Genomic DNA, 15,183 nt, shown 5'->3' with positions numbered 1-15,183 from the left:
TCACCTGAGCCCAGGAGATCAAATTACAGTGAGCCGTGATCATGTCACTGCACTCCAGCCTGGGCGGCAGAGCAAGACCCTGTCTCAAAAAATTGAACAAATAAGTAGCTGTTTTAAGATCCTTGCCTGCTAATTTCATTACCTCTATCATTTCTGTACTCTTTTAGTGATTGATTTCCCCTTCTTGCTATAGGTTGCATTTTTCTGTTTCTTTGAAAGCCTGATAATTTCTGACAAAACATCAGGTATTGTGAGAGTTTTATTTTTTTTAATGCTGATGAGGGCTGGATTTTGTGGTATTGGGTTGAGTGTTGGGTTTGTTGTGACACATAGATAAGATTGCTTGAGGCTTTTATTGTTCTGGTGGATCCAGGGTAGCTTTTAATTTGGGGCTCGTTGAGCCCCAGTACTACATCATGCCCTTTCTGAGGAAGGCACCCAACGCCCTGCATGTTACAAGGCCTCTTGAGCCATGTGAGCCCCAGTTGCTCCTGCCTTCCCCTGGTTCTAGTTCAGGCTCCCAAGCCTCAGGCACCTGCAGATCAGTGCTCAGCAGGGGACTTGGGGGACCCTTGGGACCCTTTTGCTACCTCAGGAGCTCTGCCTCACATTCTCTCTCCCTCTCCTGTTCCTGTCTCCCCCACCCGCTGCTCCTGCACACGTGTGAGCACCGCGTGTGTGCGTTTTCCATGTCTCTGGTAGTCTGCCCCACAAATTCTGCCTGCCGAGGCCTCCCAGATCTCCAGGTCTGGCTCCCTGAGCCCAGGAGACCTCTAGGCTCAGTTTGAGCTGCCCCCTGCCTCTGCTGCAGCCTGAGAAGGGCCTCCAGTCCTCTTCAGGCCGGGCATCTAAGGCTCATCTCCTTTCCATTTCAGTAATGACAGTCCTGCTCCACCTGTTGTCCTGTTTATGCAAACTCTTGTTTCCTATGACTTATTCAGCTTTATACTTGTTTCAGAACAAAACTTTTTAATGCCAGAATTTGTTTGAAATCAATAGACTCTACTACTACATAAGCTTAATTCTTTAAATGCCTTCCTCTCAGATAATTTGAGTGTATCATAAGAATTTCATTTCTTAGATCTATCCCTCTCTTTTTACCCTTGTTTCTGTTTAGGGGAATCATTTCCAACAAGGGCACTTTTGCCTTATCTGCTCCTCAGGGGCATTTGGCAATGTCTGACATGTTTTTGGTTGTCACACCAGGGAGGGGGCTCTGGTCTCTAGTGGATAGAAGGTTAGGGATGCTGGGAAGCATTCTTCAGTGCACAGCAGAGCCTCCCACAGCGAAGAACCACCCAACATTAATCAGCCCAAGATGTCAGTCATGCCAAGGTTGGAAAACTTTCCTTTAGATGATTTGGCCATAAAATCTTTCTCTCAGGAGTCTTGGAACTTCCCATCATAAAAACGTAGGACCGTTGCATGTTTGTTAGGAACCCTGAGATGATATCACCACTTTTCTTAAGGTCTTTGTCATTTCCTCTTCATGAACCTGCTAATTCTCTTGGGTTGGTTTGAATTGGGCCCATGCTGAGTTTTCTTTGTTGTTTTTCTCAACCTTTGGATATGTTGGTTCTGACAGAAACCATTCTTGTTTCCTCTGCACTTATACAACTTCTGACACCAGATGTGTGGGTTTTTTCCACACCAAGCAATCTCCAATTCTCCGAACACCAGCTGGGTATCCTGCAGTTTCATTCAATTCTGACACTGTCCACATGTTTTTAGTGTTAGATCCCACAAGTTAAGGGCCAAGTCCCACAAGACTGCGCCTCACTTCAGATGACAGTCACAAATCTGGGCCTCTAGGAGTTCTGAGCGACCAGCTATAAAATAAATCAGAGGGTTCCATGTCCCCCTCCTCAGATTGAATCATTTTTCAGAATGGCTCAAAAACTCAGGGAAACACCTTACCTACACTTGAGTAATGGGTAATCAATTGGTCTCAGTGACCAGCCCCATCTTGAGCTACCTAGAGGCCTCATCCTAAGTTATCTCATTACTGTAAACTCTGGGGGACTTGTGAATTTAAAGCAAGACATGCCGATTACTCAGGAAATTTCAAGGGCTTTAGGAGCCAGCGACAAAGTCCAAATATATTTCTTATTAAACCACATCTGTGGATTTATTTTTCTCAGCCGACATGATTATTTTGGTATTTCTGCTCTTGAATAACACAATAGAGATACAAAATACTATGTACTCTATTTGTGTGGGGGGAAACACAAAGAAACAGAGGCTTAAGAAGAGGTGGAGTAATATTTTCGGTGACTCAGCATGTCAGTTGTGGTTATTAATAATAGTGTTGCTTCGACTTCACCATATGCAATTCTTTTTCTTTAACAAAAAAAGTTGATTTTAGTTCAATTTTAGCATGAATATTGAGAAGAGTTTATATAGAGTCTATAATTTATGGAATGCCTTAGAAGTCTAGGTAACACTGGTCCTCTGATTTTCACATTTTGCAAGTGAAAGTTTCAGTGGGAGAATATATATATACTATATTAGTCCATTCTTTTCTTTTTTTTTTTTTTTTTTTTTTGAGGCCGAGTCTCGCCGCTCTGTCACCCAGGCTGGAGTGCAGTGGTGCCATCTCGGCTCGCTGCAAGCCCCGCCTCCCGGGTTCATGCCATTCAACTGCCTCAGCCTCCCAAGTAGCTGGGACTACAGGCGCCCACCACCACGCCTGGCTAATTTTTTGCATTTTTAGTAGAGACGGGGTTTCACCATGTTAGCCAGGATGGTCTCGATCTCCTGACCTCGTGATCCACACGCCTCAGCCTCCTAAAGTGCTGGGATTACAGGCGTGAGCCACCACGCCCAGCCCCTATGTTAGTCCATTCTATGCACTGCTATAAAGAGATACCTGAGACTGGGTAATTTATTTTAAAAAAAAGGTTTAATTGGCTCACATTTCTGCAACTCTACAGGAAGCATGGCTGGGGAAGCCTCAGGAAACTTATAATCATGGCAGAAGGCAAAGGGGAAGCAGGCATGGTTTATGTGGCTGGAGCAGTAGGAAGAGAGTGGGGAGGTGCTACACACTTTACAACAAGCAGTTCTCATGAGAACTCACTCACTGTCGTGCAAGAGGGAAATCTGCCCCCTTGATCCAATCACCTTTCACCAGGCCCCTCCTCCAACATTGGGGATTACAATTTGGCGAGATTTGGGCAGGGACAGTAATTCGCACCATTTCATATAGCAGCATTTTCTTATATGCCATTTACTCTTGACATGGCTGTATATGTAATTTTGTATTTTAGCCACAGGAAGCTCTTTTTAACATTTACTTTGATTGGCTTTGTTAATTACAAAACAGAAATAAATGAGCACCGTCGTCTTATTCCTGTCTCTAGCACTACAGGATCTAAGTGTAAGAATTCAGCTCATATGCATTAAGGGACATATAGACAATATGAAGTTACAGTTCATAAAATATAATCAGACTGTTAAGCAGTAAGTGAGAACTAATCCCATCTAACCTCATTTTATTAATATAAATGATGAACTGAGGCTCAAAAGGTTTAATGCCTTCCAGAAGGTCATGGAGTAGTTACAGGGAAGGCTGAACTTGAGTACAGGTAGTGTGTTTTCTGCTAAAGTCATGATGTGCAAGTTCTCGATGCTGCTGGCCCTGTGTTCTTTTCTTTCTGGGTCCAGCATCAGCCTCTTTTTCTCCCACCATCTCCAGAGGACCCTGGCTGTTGATGAGCACATCCCAAGCAGGGAGGGAGTCACCCTCTCCATTAATTACCTTACATAGTTCTCATTGTCCCTGATATATGGCTGTGTAGCTTCTCAAGTGTAAGCCTAATTTTTCTCCTTGTACTTAAAATTATTTTAGATTAATAAGAAAAAAAAAACCACTGTCCTTGTAAATTCTTTGACCCCTTGTTTTTCTCATACTCCATCAAAATGCTTTTTAAAAGCTCAAGGGTTAGAGGTTTCCTTTTAAAGAAAAATTAACTAGTTTGGTTTCCTGACCTTTTGTTGCTAAAATCATCTATCTTGTAATGGATGTTGAATTTTTATAGCTTTCCCAATAGTACATCTATCACAGAAACAGTAATGTATATTTGAGGTTGATAGAACATTTCAGTTTTATGCTAGCTTTGAATGAAATCTTTTGTAGAGCTTTCTGGTCTGTGATTTGAATTTTTCCTTAATGAGTTAGGGACAGCTATGTGTGCTGCTTTTTTCTAAATTGAAATATATGATTCGCATGTTTTCATCTCTACAGCCTGGGGATATATGCTACAAAGATTGAATTGAATGGGTCAGGTTAATGGATTGGGACACATATTCCCCTGACGTTTCTGGATGTGTTCTAAGTGAAATATACTTAAATACTTAAATAAGATCTTTTTTGAATTGTGCCAGTTGGATATTAAAATTTGCAATGCATTTTGAATTTTTGAATTTTCTGCCAGTAGTAAGATTAAGCTCCTTTTTTACTTTATGAAGAACTAGAAATATTTTTGACCACTTGATCCATAAGCTTATTCTTTAACTTAAATCTCTACTTCTGTCATTTTTTGTAGCTGTATGAGAGTATATGTGTCTTGGTTTTACATTTTAGTAAGAAAGATTATATTTTGTCTTACATGCTATAGTAACTCATCACTTATCTTGAGTACGGCATCCCAATAATTTCAACTCTCCAAACAGACAAGAGCCAGACAGTTTAAAATAAAAAGGTCATGGGGAAGAGGTATGAGATGAAAGGTTGGCTTTGAGTACAATCTATAACTTTGCCCATAGGAAGTTTCTTCCATATCTCACACAGAACCTATTTTTTAATCTTCCTTAAGGCAAAGCTCTAATAAGGTAAATTATATGGTTTTCATCCACGGCAGGCTACAAGCAGCAAAGGAAAAGAAGTGATTAGACTATGTGTGTGCATTGCAGTGAAGCGGGAAAGAGCAAACCCAGCAGCTGCAAACCAGCTCAGAAAGCACTGTGTCTTTTACTGTTGAGCAGTGGGGCCCCCTGCCTGCCTACCTAGCCCCAGGATTATTCCAGTAATCATTGGTGTTTGTAATGTTGCCCCTGAATCATTCAGAAGAGGGTTAGAATGTCCTTTGAGCTCTTAAGAACACAGAGAGGCAAGATACATTTTAGAAAGATAAGCATCCCTAAATTTTTTTACCCACCACTCAGCTCTGTTCAATTTTAATATATTGCCATATTTTTATATCTTTTTTAAAGAAATAAAATATTGTTGATATGTTTGGAGCCCTCTTCTATCCCCTTTCTTTCCCTTCTATGAGTTGTACTATCTTAAACTTTCGTCATCATTATTTCCATACATATTTTATCCTTACATTGCAGATAAATACACCACACACACATACACACACACACACACACACACACTCAGAGTAAATGATAGGAGTAGTCTTTTCAAGATTTTATACAAATAGCATTATACTGTACAAATTTTCTGTGACTTGATTATTTTTTATTCCATTTTGGGATTCAATCTCGTATTCCATTATCAGAATTATCACAGTTTATTTTTTCGTTCACATGTTGATTTTTATTATTTTTTTCATTTCTTGACATTACACATAATACCATAATGAACATTTTTATACCTATCGCCCGTGTAAGTATGTATGTACGCTGTGCTCTAGGATATGTTCTTAGAGACCTAGAGGGTCATGAGGTTTTACACAGCTTCAGCTCTACTGTATATTGCCAAATTATGCTACAAATGCTTGTACAGATTTCCTCTCTCACTAGCAGTATCTGAAAGTTCCTATAGCTGCAGATATCCTCCAATATCAGGTTCTGTTAGGTTTTTTTTTTAATTGTTCATTTCATGTGTATGAAATTATATGTAATGTTCTAATTTGCATATTCCTACTTTGTACTGTGGTGGAGCATAGTTTATATTATGGTTTATTTGGATTTCTCTTATGTGAGTTGCCTTATATATTCTATTAGCTATTTATCTTATGATTATTGATGTACAGGAATTTCATCTGTATTCTGAACACTATAAATTTCAAATACTTTCTCTTAGTCTGTGACTTACAAACATTTATAATGTTTTATTATACAGAAATTAAAAATTTTAATAAAGTACAGTAGTTTTTGTTGTTATTGTTGTTGAGGAGGGCGTCTTGCTCTGTTGCCCAGGCTGATCTTGAACTCCTGGCCTCTGGCAGTCCACCTGTTTTGGCTTCCCAAAGCACTGGAATTACAGGCATGAGCCACTGTTCCCAGCCAAGATCAAAAAAATATATATATATGTATATATACATATATATATACACACACACACATATATGCACACATATATACACATATATATACACACATATATACACACATATACATATACACATGTATATATATACATATATATACACACATATATACACATGTATATATATACATATATATACACACATATATATACACACATATATATACACACACATATATATATATTTTGTCCCCAAAGCAAAGCTATATAAGAAAAGACATACATAGATACATATATTTTAGAAAGATGTATATACATACATATATACATATATGTGTGTGTGTCTGTCTGTCTGTCTTTTCTTATATAGCTCTGCTTTTACATCTTTAGGAAATTCTTCCCTACCATGGAAGTCATAGATATTTGCTTATAAAAATTTTAAAATTTTGCTTTTCACTTATTGTTAATTTGCTTAGAGTTTTTTTGGTTATGGCATGAGATAAGGACCTACTGTTTTCTCCTATGGATATCTAATTACACCGGTGTCACTTACCGAATGATCCTTCCTTTTCTGTTAGCAGTTGCTACATCGCATCTATCGTGTGTTAAATATCTAATGTGCTTGGGTCTGTTTCTGAGGCATTTGTTTTATTGATCTGTCTGGGCCTGCATCAATTTGATGTCTGGTAGGGTGAGCTCCCCTATCATTGTTGGTATTCTTCAGGAGCGTCCTGGCCATTCTTGGCCTTATATAAATTTTACATGGAATTTAAATATATATATAATACATATGGAAATTAATTTTTAAAATCTTGTTGGACTTTTAATTGAAATTGCATTGCATTTATGAATTAATTGAAATATACCTAATTAATTGCAAAACAAAAATGTTTGAGTGTTTAAAAGAATAAATTACTAGGTTTTACAAAAATTATTTGTCAAGAACAGCCAATTTCCCAAGGGTTCTGAATACTCAAGGTTTTACTATATTAAGTGAATTTGAAAAGCACACCATTTAAAATGTTCATTCATATATTGGGGTGATTCAGAAAATTAAGTGTTTAAGCATCTTTCATTTTTCATTATGCTTGCTAATTTCTTCATCAAGTATTTATTGATTGCTTGTTTTATGTAGGACCTTCTGCTATAGAATATAACAGTGGTTCAAAAATCCCAACAGCCATTGGTAGAGCAAATGTTCTTATTTTTGTAGTGCATTATATATGACATAATTCACATTTCTTAGGTGTACCTCAGTTGATGTTGGAGGAAAATATTCCCCATGTTTGCTGTGTGTCATGTGTCAGATAGCCCATTCTTTTCAAATTTGCCTCAAAAAGTCCACCTAGTGTTCAGAAATAATGGAATGTTGACTCTTTTTCATCTAATCAGGCTGGACTAATTATTTGCTAAAATTCATTTTTGTCTCTCTCTAGAGACTTGCAGCCAATACAGGAAGCAAACAGCGTAGTCGCCTCTCTGTTATGGCTCAGTACCTCTGCAATGTTCGACACATCTTTACGATTCCAGGACAAGCTTTTGTCCCCAAACCAGAGGTAAGTTTCTGCTTATTTGTTGTAGTATATCGGAATTAGGACGTTTGTTCCCCTGAGGATGTGTCATAGGAAATAACCTCTAGGATCTAACCTTTGTTTATGTGCAAACTGACACTGTACTTTACTTCTGAATAAGAACCACAAAAATCGTAATATGAATAGCTAGTTCTTACTATAATTGTTCTCCTTAGGTAGGGTGACTAAATGTTTAGGTTCATGCATGTTATCCTGGTGGCAGTATCATTCATCATCTTCATCTTCATGATGTTACTCTTAAAGTATCCCTGTATGGAAGATAAGTTACACGGTCACCCAATATTTGAGAAAAGAAATAAAATACTTTTGTGTTTTCTGTTAGAGACCTCTAACTAAAGCTACATCAAACATTATTTACTTAACACTTTTTTGGGAGACCTTATTATGGTAGTGTTATTTGTGGTAAATCATCTGTGGAAGAAACAGTTGGATATTAAACTAGGCTTTGATATTATATGCTAGTTATGTGAGTAAGTGCTAGTTACAGAAACAGAGTTTCTCTGCCAAAAATTAAAATTAAAAAAACCGTTGTCTGTTTTAGCAAAACCACTGCTTGGTGAGTTATTACAAGATGTGTACTATTAAAAACTCATCTTTTTCTTCAGTGAATGTATATTGAGCATTTACTGTTTGAAAATGCGTTGGGTAGCAAGGGGAGTCTACAGGGATATGAGCCTAATCCGATACAGAGTCTGCCTTCAGGGAGTTCACAGCCTCATGAGGAATAGAAATTTCTCACTGGTCCCTAAAACTCTCAAATATAAGGTCTTGCAGAGTGTCCCTTGCATCATGTATCCTTCATAAATAACAAGAGATAGCATGGAAAAAAATGCATTATGTGACTATAGATTTAGATATAGATTCTAGATTTAGAATGGAGACCCTAACCAATAGTGTTAGATCTACTTGTCTGTCTTGAAGACGCCTAAGTGATCTCCATGCTCTTTGCTGCCACCTTCATACTTCTTTGCCATTTGGCCAGTTAGCTGAGCGTTCAGGTGACTAGGAAGTCAGGCCATCTTCCCCTTACGTAACAGACATAATTGTCAGCTTTTTCTAAATCGAGCTCAGGGAGCTTGCTATCGGTGCCACCTCCCTTCAGCATCTCAGACTTCAGAGACATTGCGAATGACTTCTCCTAGAATAATTAGATCCAAGACAGAATTTGATGACTGGAGGTATCTTATAGGTTATCTTCAAATTTAAAACATTTGTGCTTTCAGGGACTTTCTCTCCTAGTACAGGTGGCCATTATAATGAAAAAAATAAAAATAAAAAACCAGTGACCATGTAGCTTGATTTCTTCTTGTCATGCACATGTGTGTGCATATAACATTTTAAATAGTGTAAGACTCATTATATCAAAAACCAAGATCCTTACTCATAGGCCTCTATAGTTATGGTTATGACCATTATCCAGAATCTCCAGGCTATTTAAGTTTTACTAACGGGTTCTTAGGATAGATATTCGAATATTTTTAGTGGAAGCTTTCTAACTCTGTTTTAGTTACCTAGTTGAGATTATTTGATGGAGTTTCGAAGTTATTATCCACTTTATCTTTGATTTAGTGGTAAGGTACATATGTAGTTTATCAATTAAAATTTACCTTCTCTGGGATTAAGGCCACAAGAAAATATTTATTATTTGGAAAAAAGCTAGCTATGTCTTTGATTCCTTTTTTTATTGAGGGATGTTTACGTTTTGGCAAATTAAACATTTTCATAGCAATTTACTTCACTTTTTTTATTATATTGTAACTATTACATACAGGGGATTTATTTGTAATCCAGAAAAGCACTTATCAAGGACTTGTAGGTGTGCACCACCACACCGGCTATTTTTTGTAGTTTTTCATAGAGACAGGATTTTGCCATATTGGCCAGGCTGGTCTTGAACTCATGGCCTCCAGTGACCTACCCGCTTTGGCCTCCCAAAGTGCCGGGATTACAGGCTAAATTTTAGTTCTAAAAGAATTCTCTGCTGCTTTGAAGTAGTTTTACCATATTAGGGCAAAGCAGAAATGTTCTGAAGAAAGCCAGAAAATATTTTGCTGACAGTTACATTGAGCAAATGTTTTAAAAATTCATTTTCTTGGGCCGGGCACAGTGACTCATGCCTGTAATCCCAGCACTTTGGGAGGCCGAGGTGGGCGGATCACGAGGTCAGGAGATCGAGACCATCCTGGCTAACATGGTGAAACCCCGTCTCTACTAAAAATACAAAAAATTAGCCGGGCATGGTGGTGGGCGCCTCAAGTCCCAGCTACTCAGGAGGCTGAGGCAGGAGAATGGCATGAACCCGGGAGGCGGAGCTTGCAGCGAGGCGAGATGGCACCACTGCACTCCAGCCTGGGTGACAGAGCGAGACTCCATCTCAAAAAAAAAAAAAATTCATTTTCTCAAATAAGAAAGAGGAAGAGTTTTTACAGAGATGATAAACTAATTCAAGGCTAGTACTCTAACTAAACCTTCTGCATACAAGAAGAGAAAGTCCTAGACGCACATAATTGCAACACAAGGTAAGATAAGCTAAGCGCTAAAAATAGAGGTTGGGCAGATTCCTGGGTGGTTGAGAGAGGGAGATTAATGCTCAGAAGAAATTTACTAACATTCATTACTTATTCTCAATCAAAACTCTAAGAATCAGATATAGAGAATTTCTTTTGTGATACAATGAGGGGCTTACTTACAACCACTTTCGGGATTTTTTCCTGTGAGAGTCTGCTGTCCCTTCTGTTTCTCAATCTTTTAACTAACTCAATCAAGCTTTAATGGCAGAACTTTCACTACCATTGAACTATTACAATCCTGTTCTGACTAGTTGAACTGAATTACTGCTGAACTTTACTCTTATTAAGCTCTCTAGTGTAGTTCCCAAAATTTGAACCCAAAATACTTTGTGTCTGCAAAACAGACAACCTCTGAGGTTCTTAAAATTAGACTAATTAATTGGTCTACTTTAGTGTCTCTTAAACTATTAGAGTCTGTAGTATGTAGCTTTTAAGTTAGAATTTTTTTAATTTTGTGTTTTCATTTCACTGTTAATGAAATTATTTACATTTACAAGACAATGTCTTTTGCAATGCAAATTCAGAACTAAAATTGTTTTCATGACAGAATACAACCTGTTTCTTAAGTTTCTCAAGCTAGCTTTTCTCTATTAGCCTCTGTAGATCCCTGAGAATCCACATATTTCTGGGGTTCCACGCTTAATCTTTTTTTTCAGCTACTCTGCACATTTCTCAAGTTTGGGAAATACTGAGCTATTAGCTAGATCCTCAAAATTCTGTCTTTTTTTTTATGAATTATGGTGATAGGCTTCATAATCTAACATAGTTCGTAAAGAGTGGAAAGGCTTTTTAGTTCTCAACACTATTTTTTTTTTTTTTTTTTTTTTTTTGAGACAGAGTCTCACTCTGCCGCCCAGGCTGGAGTGCAGTGGCACAATCTCGGCTCACTGCAACCTCCACCTTCTGGGTTCAAATGATTCTCCTGCCTCAGCCTTCCGAGTAGCTGGGATTACAGGCGCCCGCCATCATGCCCCGCTAAGTTTTGTATTTTTAGTAGAGACGAGGTTTCACCATGTTGGCCAAGCTGGTCTCGAACTCCTGGCCTCAGGTGATCCATCCGCCTCGGCCTCCCAAAGTGCTGGGATTACAGGCATGAGCCACCACGCCCAGCCAGTTCTCAACACTATTCTCTACTCTGACTTAGTAGAAAAATCATTTAGTTATATTATGAGAGTTGTAACGGGTTCTTTTTAATTGACACTGGTAGAGGCAGTAGACTTCCAAGTAAGCTAGACCTGCTGGAATTCCAGTACTGCTAGTTTTGAGAGCTTGGTCGGGTTAATAGGCTGAGTTTACTACATCCAGATTTGACCAATAATACCACCCTTGAAGGACATTTGTGAGGAATAGAAATAATCAATGCAGAGTGCCTAATATGAGTATCTGGCAGTGAATGCTGCCAGTCAAAGTAGTTGTTATTGTTATGATATAAACAAATATTTATGGACTAAGTTGTAGTATTCTGATATAAAAATAAGGATTATAATTTTTAAGCTATATATAGAATTTATATTTAATTTTTCCTATTTGGAAGTGTGGTATATAGAACAAGTTACCTTCAAACATGGTACACATTTAAAGCATAAATAGTGTCCATTAAATTGTAGATGAATTAATGATATATCCATGACATATAAAGAAAAGATTGGAACTTGAGACATCCACTCTTGACTTTTGAAGAGCGTTTTAGAGGCTTCCAACCCTGCTTGTTCACAGCTATTGAGGCCTTGACCTCTGTGGGAGATAGTCTTGAGTTTGGTGGGTGGATGGGTCCACAGAAGAGACAACTGTTTTTCATGCTTTTGTGTTTTTTGAAATCTGACATTGAGGATGTTATTTCTGCTGTATATTTACCTTGTATTCAAGAATCATTTTGGTATGAGGTCAGAACACTAGTGTTTTCCTACTTAACTAAGACTCTTCTGTCTTTGGTTTGTATTCTCCTCCTAGAATCAGATTGAGATGGGATTTTCATAAAGGTGATGTATTGACAAGGGCCCTCAGGAGAAGGGGCATGAGGGTAGCAGGAAAGGGCAGGGGAAGAGCTAAGTAAACATATTGTTCCTCCTGGAGGAGCTTCAGCCTAGAACCACGGCGGGAGGAGAAGCTGTGTAGCACAAATTGCCCCACGCGTCTGTGTTCCCTTGAGGCAAGGGACCAGCTTATTGGAACCTGTGCCAGCCAGTCTTTGCAGGGAGCAGTGGGGCAGTCACTTCCCAGTAGAGGCAGCTCCATCTCTGGGAGCCATTAGCACCCATCAGTGCCAGCAGCTGGGGGTGGCTGCCCTGGCCCAGTGGAAGGAGCTTGGCCAAGACACAGCATCCTGTCTAGCTTCCTACCAGTAGACAAAGCTGTCAGATTACTTACATGGCCACCTCTCTGCCGCAGTTGCTTGGAAGTTCTAAACTAAGTTTCATGTTTAATTGCTTTAGCATGCTTCAACCAGGAACATTTAATAGCATTTTTTCTCTCTTCTTTTTGTTTGTAACTTTAGTCTTTCATCTTTATCAGTTGTTTTTATACTTATTATACCTGCAATTTTATAAGTTGCCTCAAATTCTTTTTTAAAGCCCTTGAGTCCAAAATAAAAATAAATATAAACCAAAAGCCATTTTTATAATTAAAGTAGTACCAGAGTCATCCTCCTTAAAAATCAGGTAAAATACGTGTTGAATAGAGATAAGAGTATTTGCTATTACAATTTTAATTCAGTACTAGGCATGCTTCCATAAACTGCTCAAGAATAAATGGTAAGTATTCTAAATCCAAGGAGGGAAAAAACAAAATTGCATTTTTGCAGACAGTACTTTTATGTATGTATAAAATGCAATGAAATTAATACAAAAGTAACTGGAGATAATGATAATAATGTGATAGTGTTCTGCAGAATTATAGGCTAGGCTAAAAATCTCAAAAGTCAAGTAAGTTAGTATTTGCTAAAGTCATGTAGCTGACAATATAGTGATGAAAGACATATGAGAAAACATTGTCCACATCCAAAACTGAACTTCTGTCTAACTACCCTAGTGGGCCTGCCCTCCCTGCACCTCTTATTCACTATGCTGACTAATGGCATCATCCACCCAGGTCATCCAAGCCTAAACCTTGGAGGTCATCTTAAGCACCACCTCCCCAGACCTTTACAACTGCTGACCCTCAGAACTAGTCAGTCGTTAACCAGCTTCTGACATTACCTAAATTTCTCCCAAACCCATCCCAATTTTGTACCCAATTCTTCTGACTTAATTTAAGTCTATCATTTTTGTCAGAATTACTAGATGAATTCTTCAGTCATATGTATAGATATACACGTGCTCCACAGGTTAAAAAAAAAAAAAGTATGATATTTTTGGTCTTTTGGGTTTTGTTTTGGTAACTTTTTATCAAAGAAGAATGAATAAGTATATTCGATAAATTAGACTATGATTTCTCAAACTCAGAACTGTTGACATTTGGGGCCAGATAATTCTTTGTTGCCAGAGTCTGTCCTGTGCATTGTAAGATACATAAAGGCATCCCTGGCCTCTTCCTACTAGATTCCAGTAGCACTACCTCAGTTAAGATAACCAAAAAAGTGTCCCAGCATTGCCGAATGTCCCCTGCAGGCTAAACTCACCCCAGGGAGAGCCACTGGATTAGACTAAGAACCATTGAGTAACACTAGTCATATGCTTTCTGTGCACCAACTGCTTTCTGTGTATCATCTCATTTAATCCCCACGAGAACTCTGAGGGTAGATGCCATTCTTAAGCAAACCAAGACCTTAGTTAAGTAATGCATGCTGTGTAACCATGCACCCACACCAGGGCTTGCACCCGGGTAGTTTGACTCCAGAACCTGGTTCCCTCAGGTTGGAACCATCTCCCCACTTACTAGCTGTGTGAACTTGGGCAAGTTAGGGAACTTATGTCACCTCTGTCGCCCTCAGTGTCCTGTAAGATCCTGAGAATAGTGCCTACCTGGTAGAGTTGTTAGGTTTAAGCCAGGACTGGCATGTGTTAGGTTTTAGACCAGGACTGGCATGTGTTAGGAAGCACTTGCCATGACATGTCACTGAGAATGCAGAGCTAAAAATGACACCACACCTCCCAGTCTAGTTGGAGATGCAATCATGTAAACTCATAATTTCATGACTTCTTAAATAGAGCGTTTTTACACAGTACACATTACTTAAGTCTTGGTGTGCTCATGTGAGCTATTGTGAGGATTAAATGAGAGCATTTATTAAATTCATAGTTTGTTAAATAGAGCATTTTCTGCGAGTGCAGATGCGGGCTTGAACTTCTAGGCTGTCAGGATTGAGTTTACAGGAGAGGTCCGTGTGAATCCTGAAGGGTGAGCAGGAGCTTTGGTAGTGAGGGAGTGAGGCTGGGAGGAGTGCAGGTGGAGGAATGAACACAGCGGGATAGGAATTCCTGTAGGAATAGAGAGACTCCACATCATTTATTGCAGGATTGCCACTTCCAAACAATACACTGGGCCATTATTTCATATAAAATGGCTGGTTTTCTGAGAGTTTGAAACATTCGTGTTTCTACTTAGGAAGAAAATACTCCAGAGCTAAATAAAAATTATTTTTGAAGTATATATAGAATGATATAGCAGATATAAAGATAACTTTTACTGTAGGACTAAAGGCTACATAGACTATGTAAACCCAGCCACATTCAGCAAAGTGAGAGAAGAACTATTAATGGGATCAAAGCAGTTCTAGCACATTAATTTGCATGAAATCATTCTTTGCATCAGAATTCTTTTTAGTATGACACTTGTGTATAAAATAACATTTTGACCACTCAAA

General features: G+C 38.5%; 1 protein-coding gene across 10 annotated transcripts in view; it reads left to right on the top strand.

Annotated features, from left to right (window-relative positions):
• TFB1M (transcription factor B1, mitochondrial) overlaps window positions 1-15,183 on the top strand; it is an 84,614-nt gene that overhangs the window by 21,551 nt on the left and 47,880 nt on the right. For all 10 annotated transcript variants that reach the window (NR_146725.2, XR_007059269.1, XM_047418852.1 and 7 more), the window contains one exon: window positions 7,657-7,776. Coding sequence is in view for 8 of the 10 variants with exons in the window: in XM_047418852.1 (XP_047274808.1) it covers window positions 7,657-7,776 (120 nt within the window). In the remaining 2 variants the exon portion in view is untranslated. The remainder of the gene's footprint in view (window positions 1-7,656; window positions 7,777-15,183) is intronic.

This window comes from Homo sapiens, chromosome 6 (genome assembly GCF_000001405.40).
Source record: "Homo sapiens chromosome 6, GRCh38.p14 Primary Assembly".
In the NCBI taxonomy this organism is placed as follows: Eukaryota; Metazoa; Chordata; class Mammalia; order Primates; family Hominidae; genus Homo; species Homo sapiens.
This window is presented reverse-complemented; position numbering and strand designations above follow the sequence as displayed.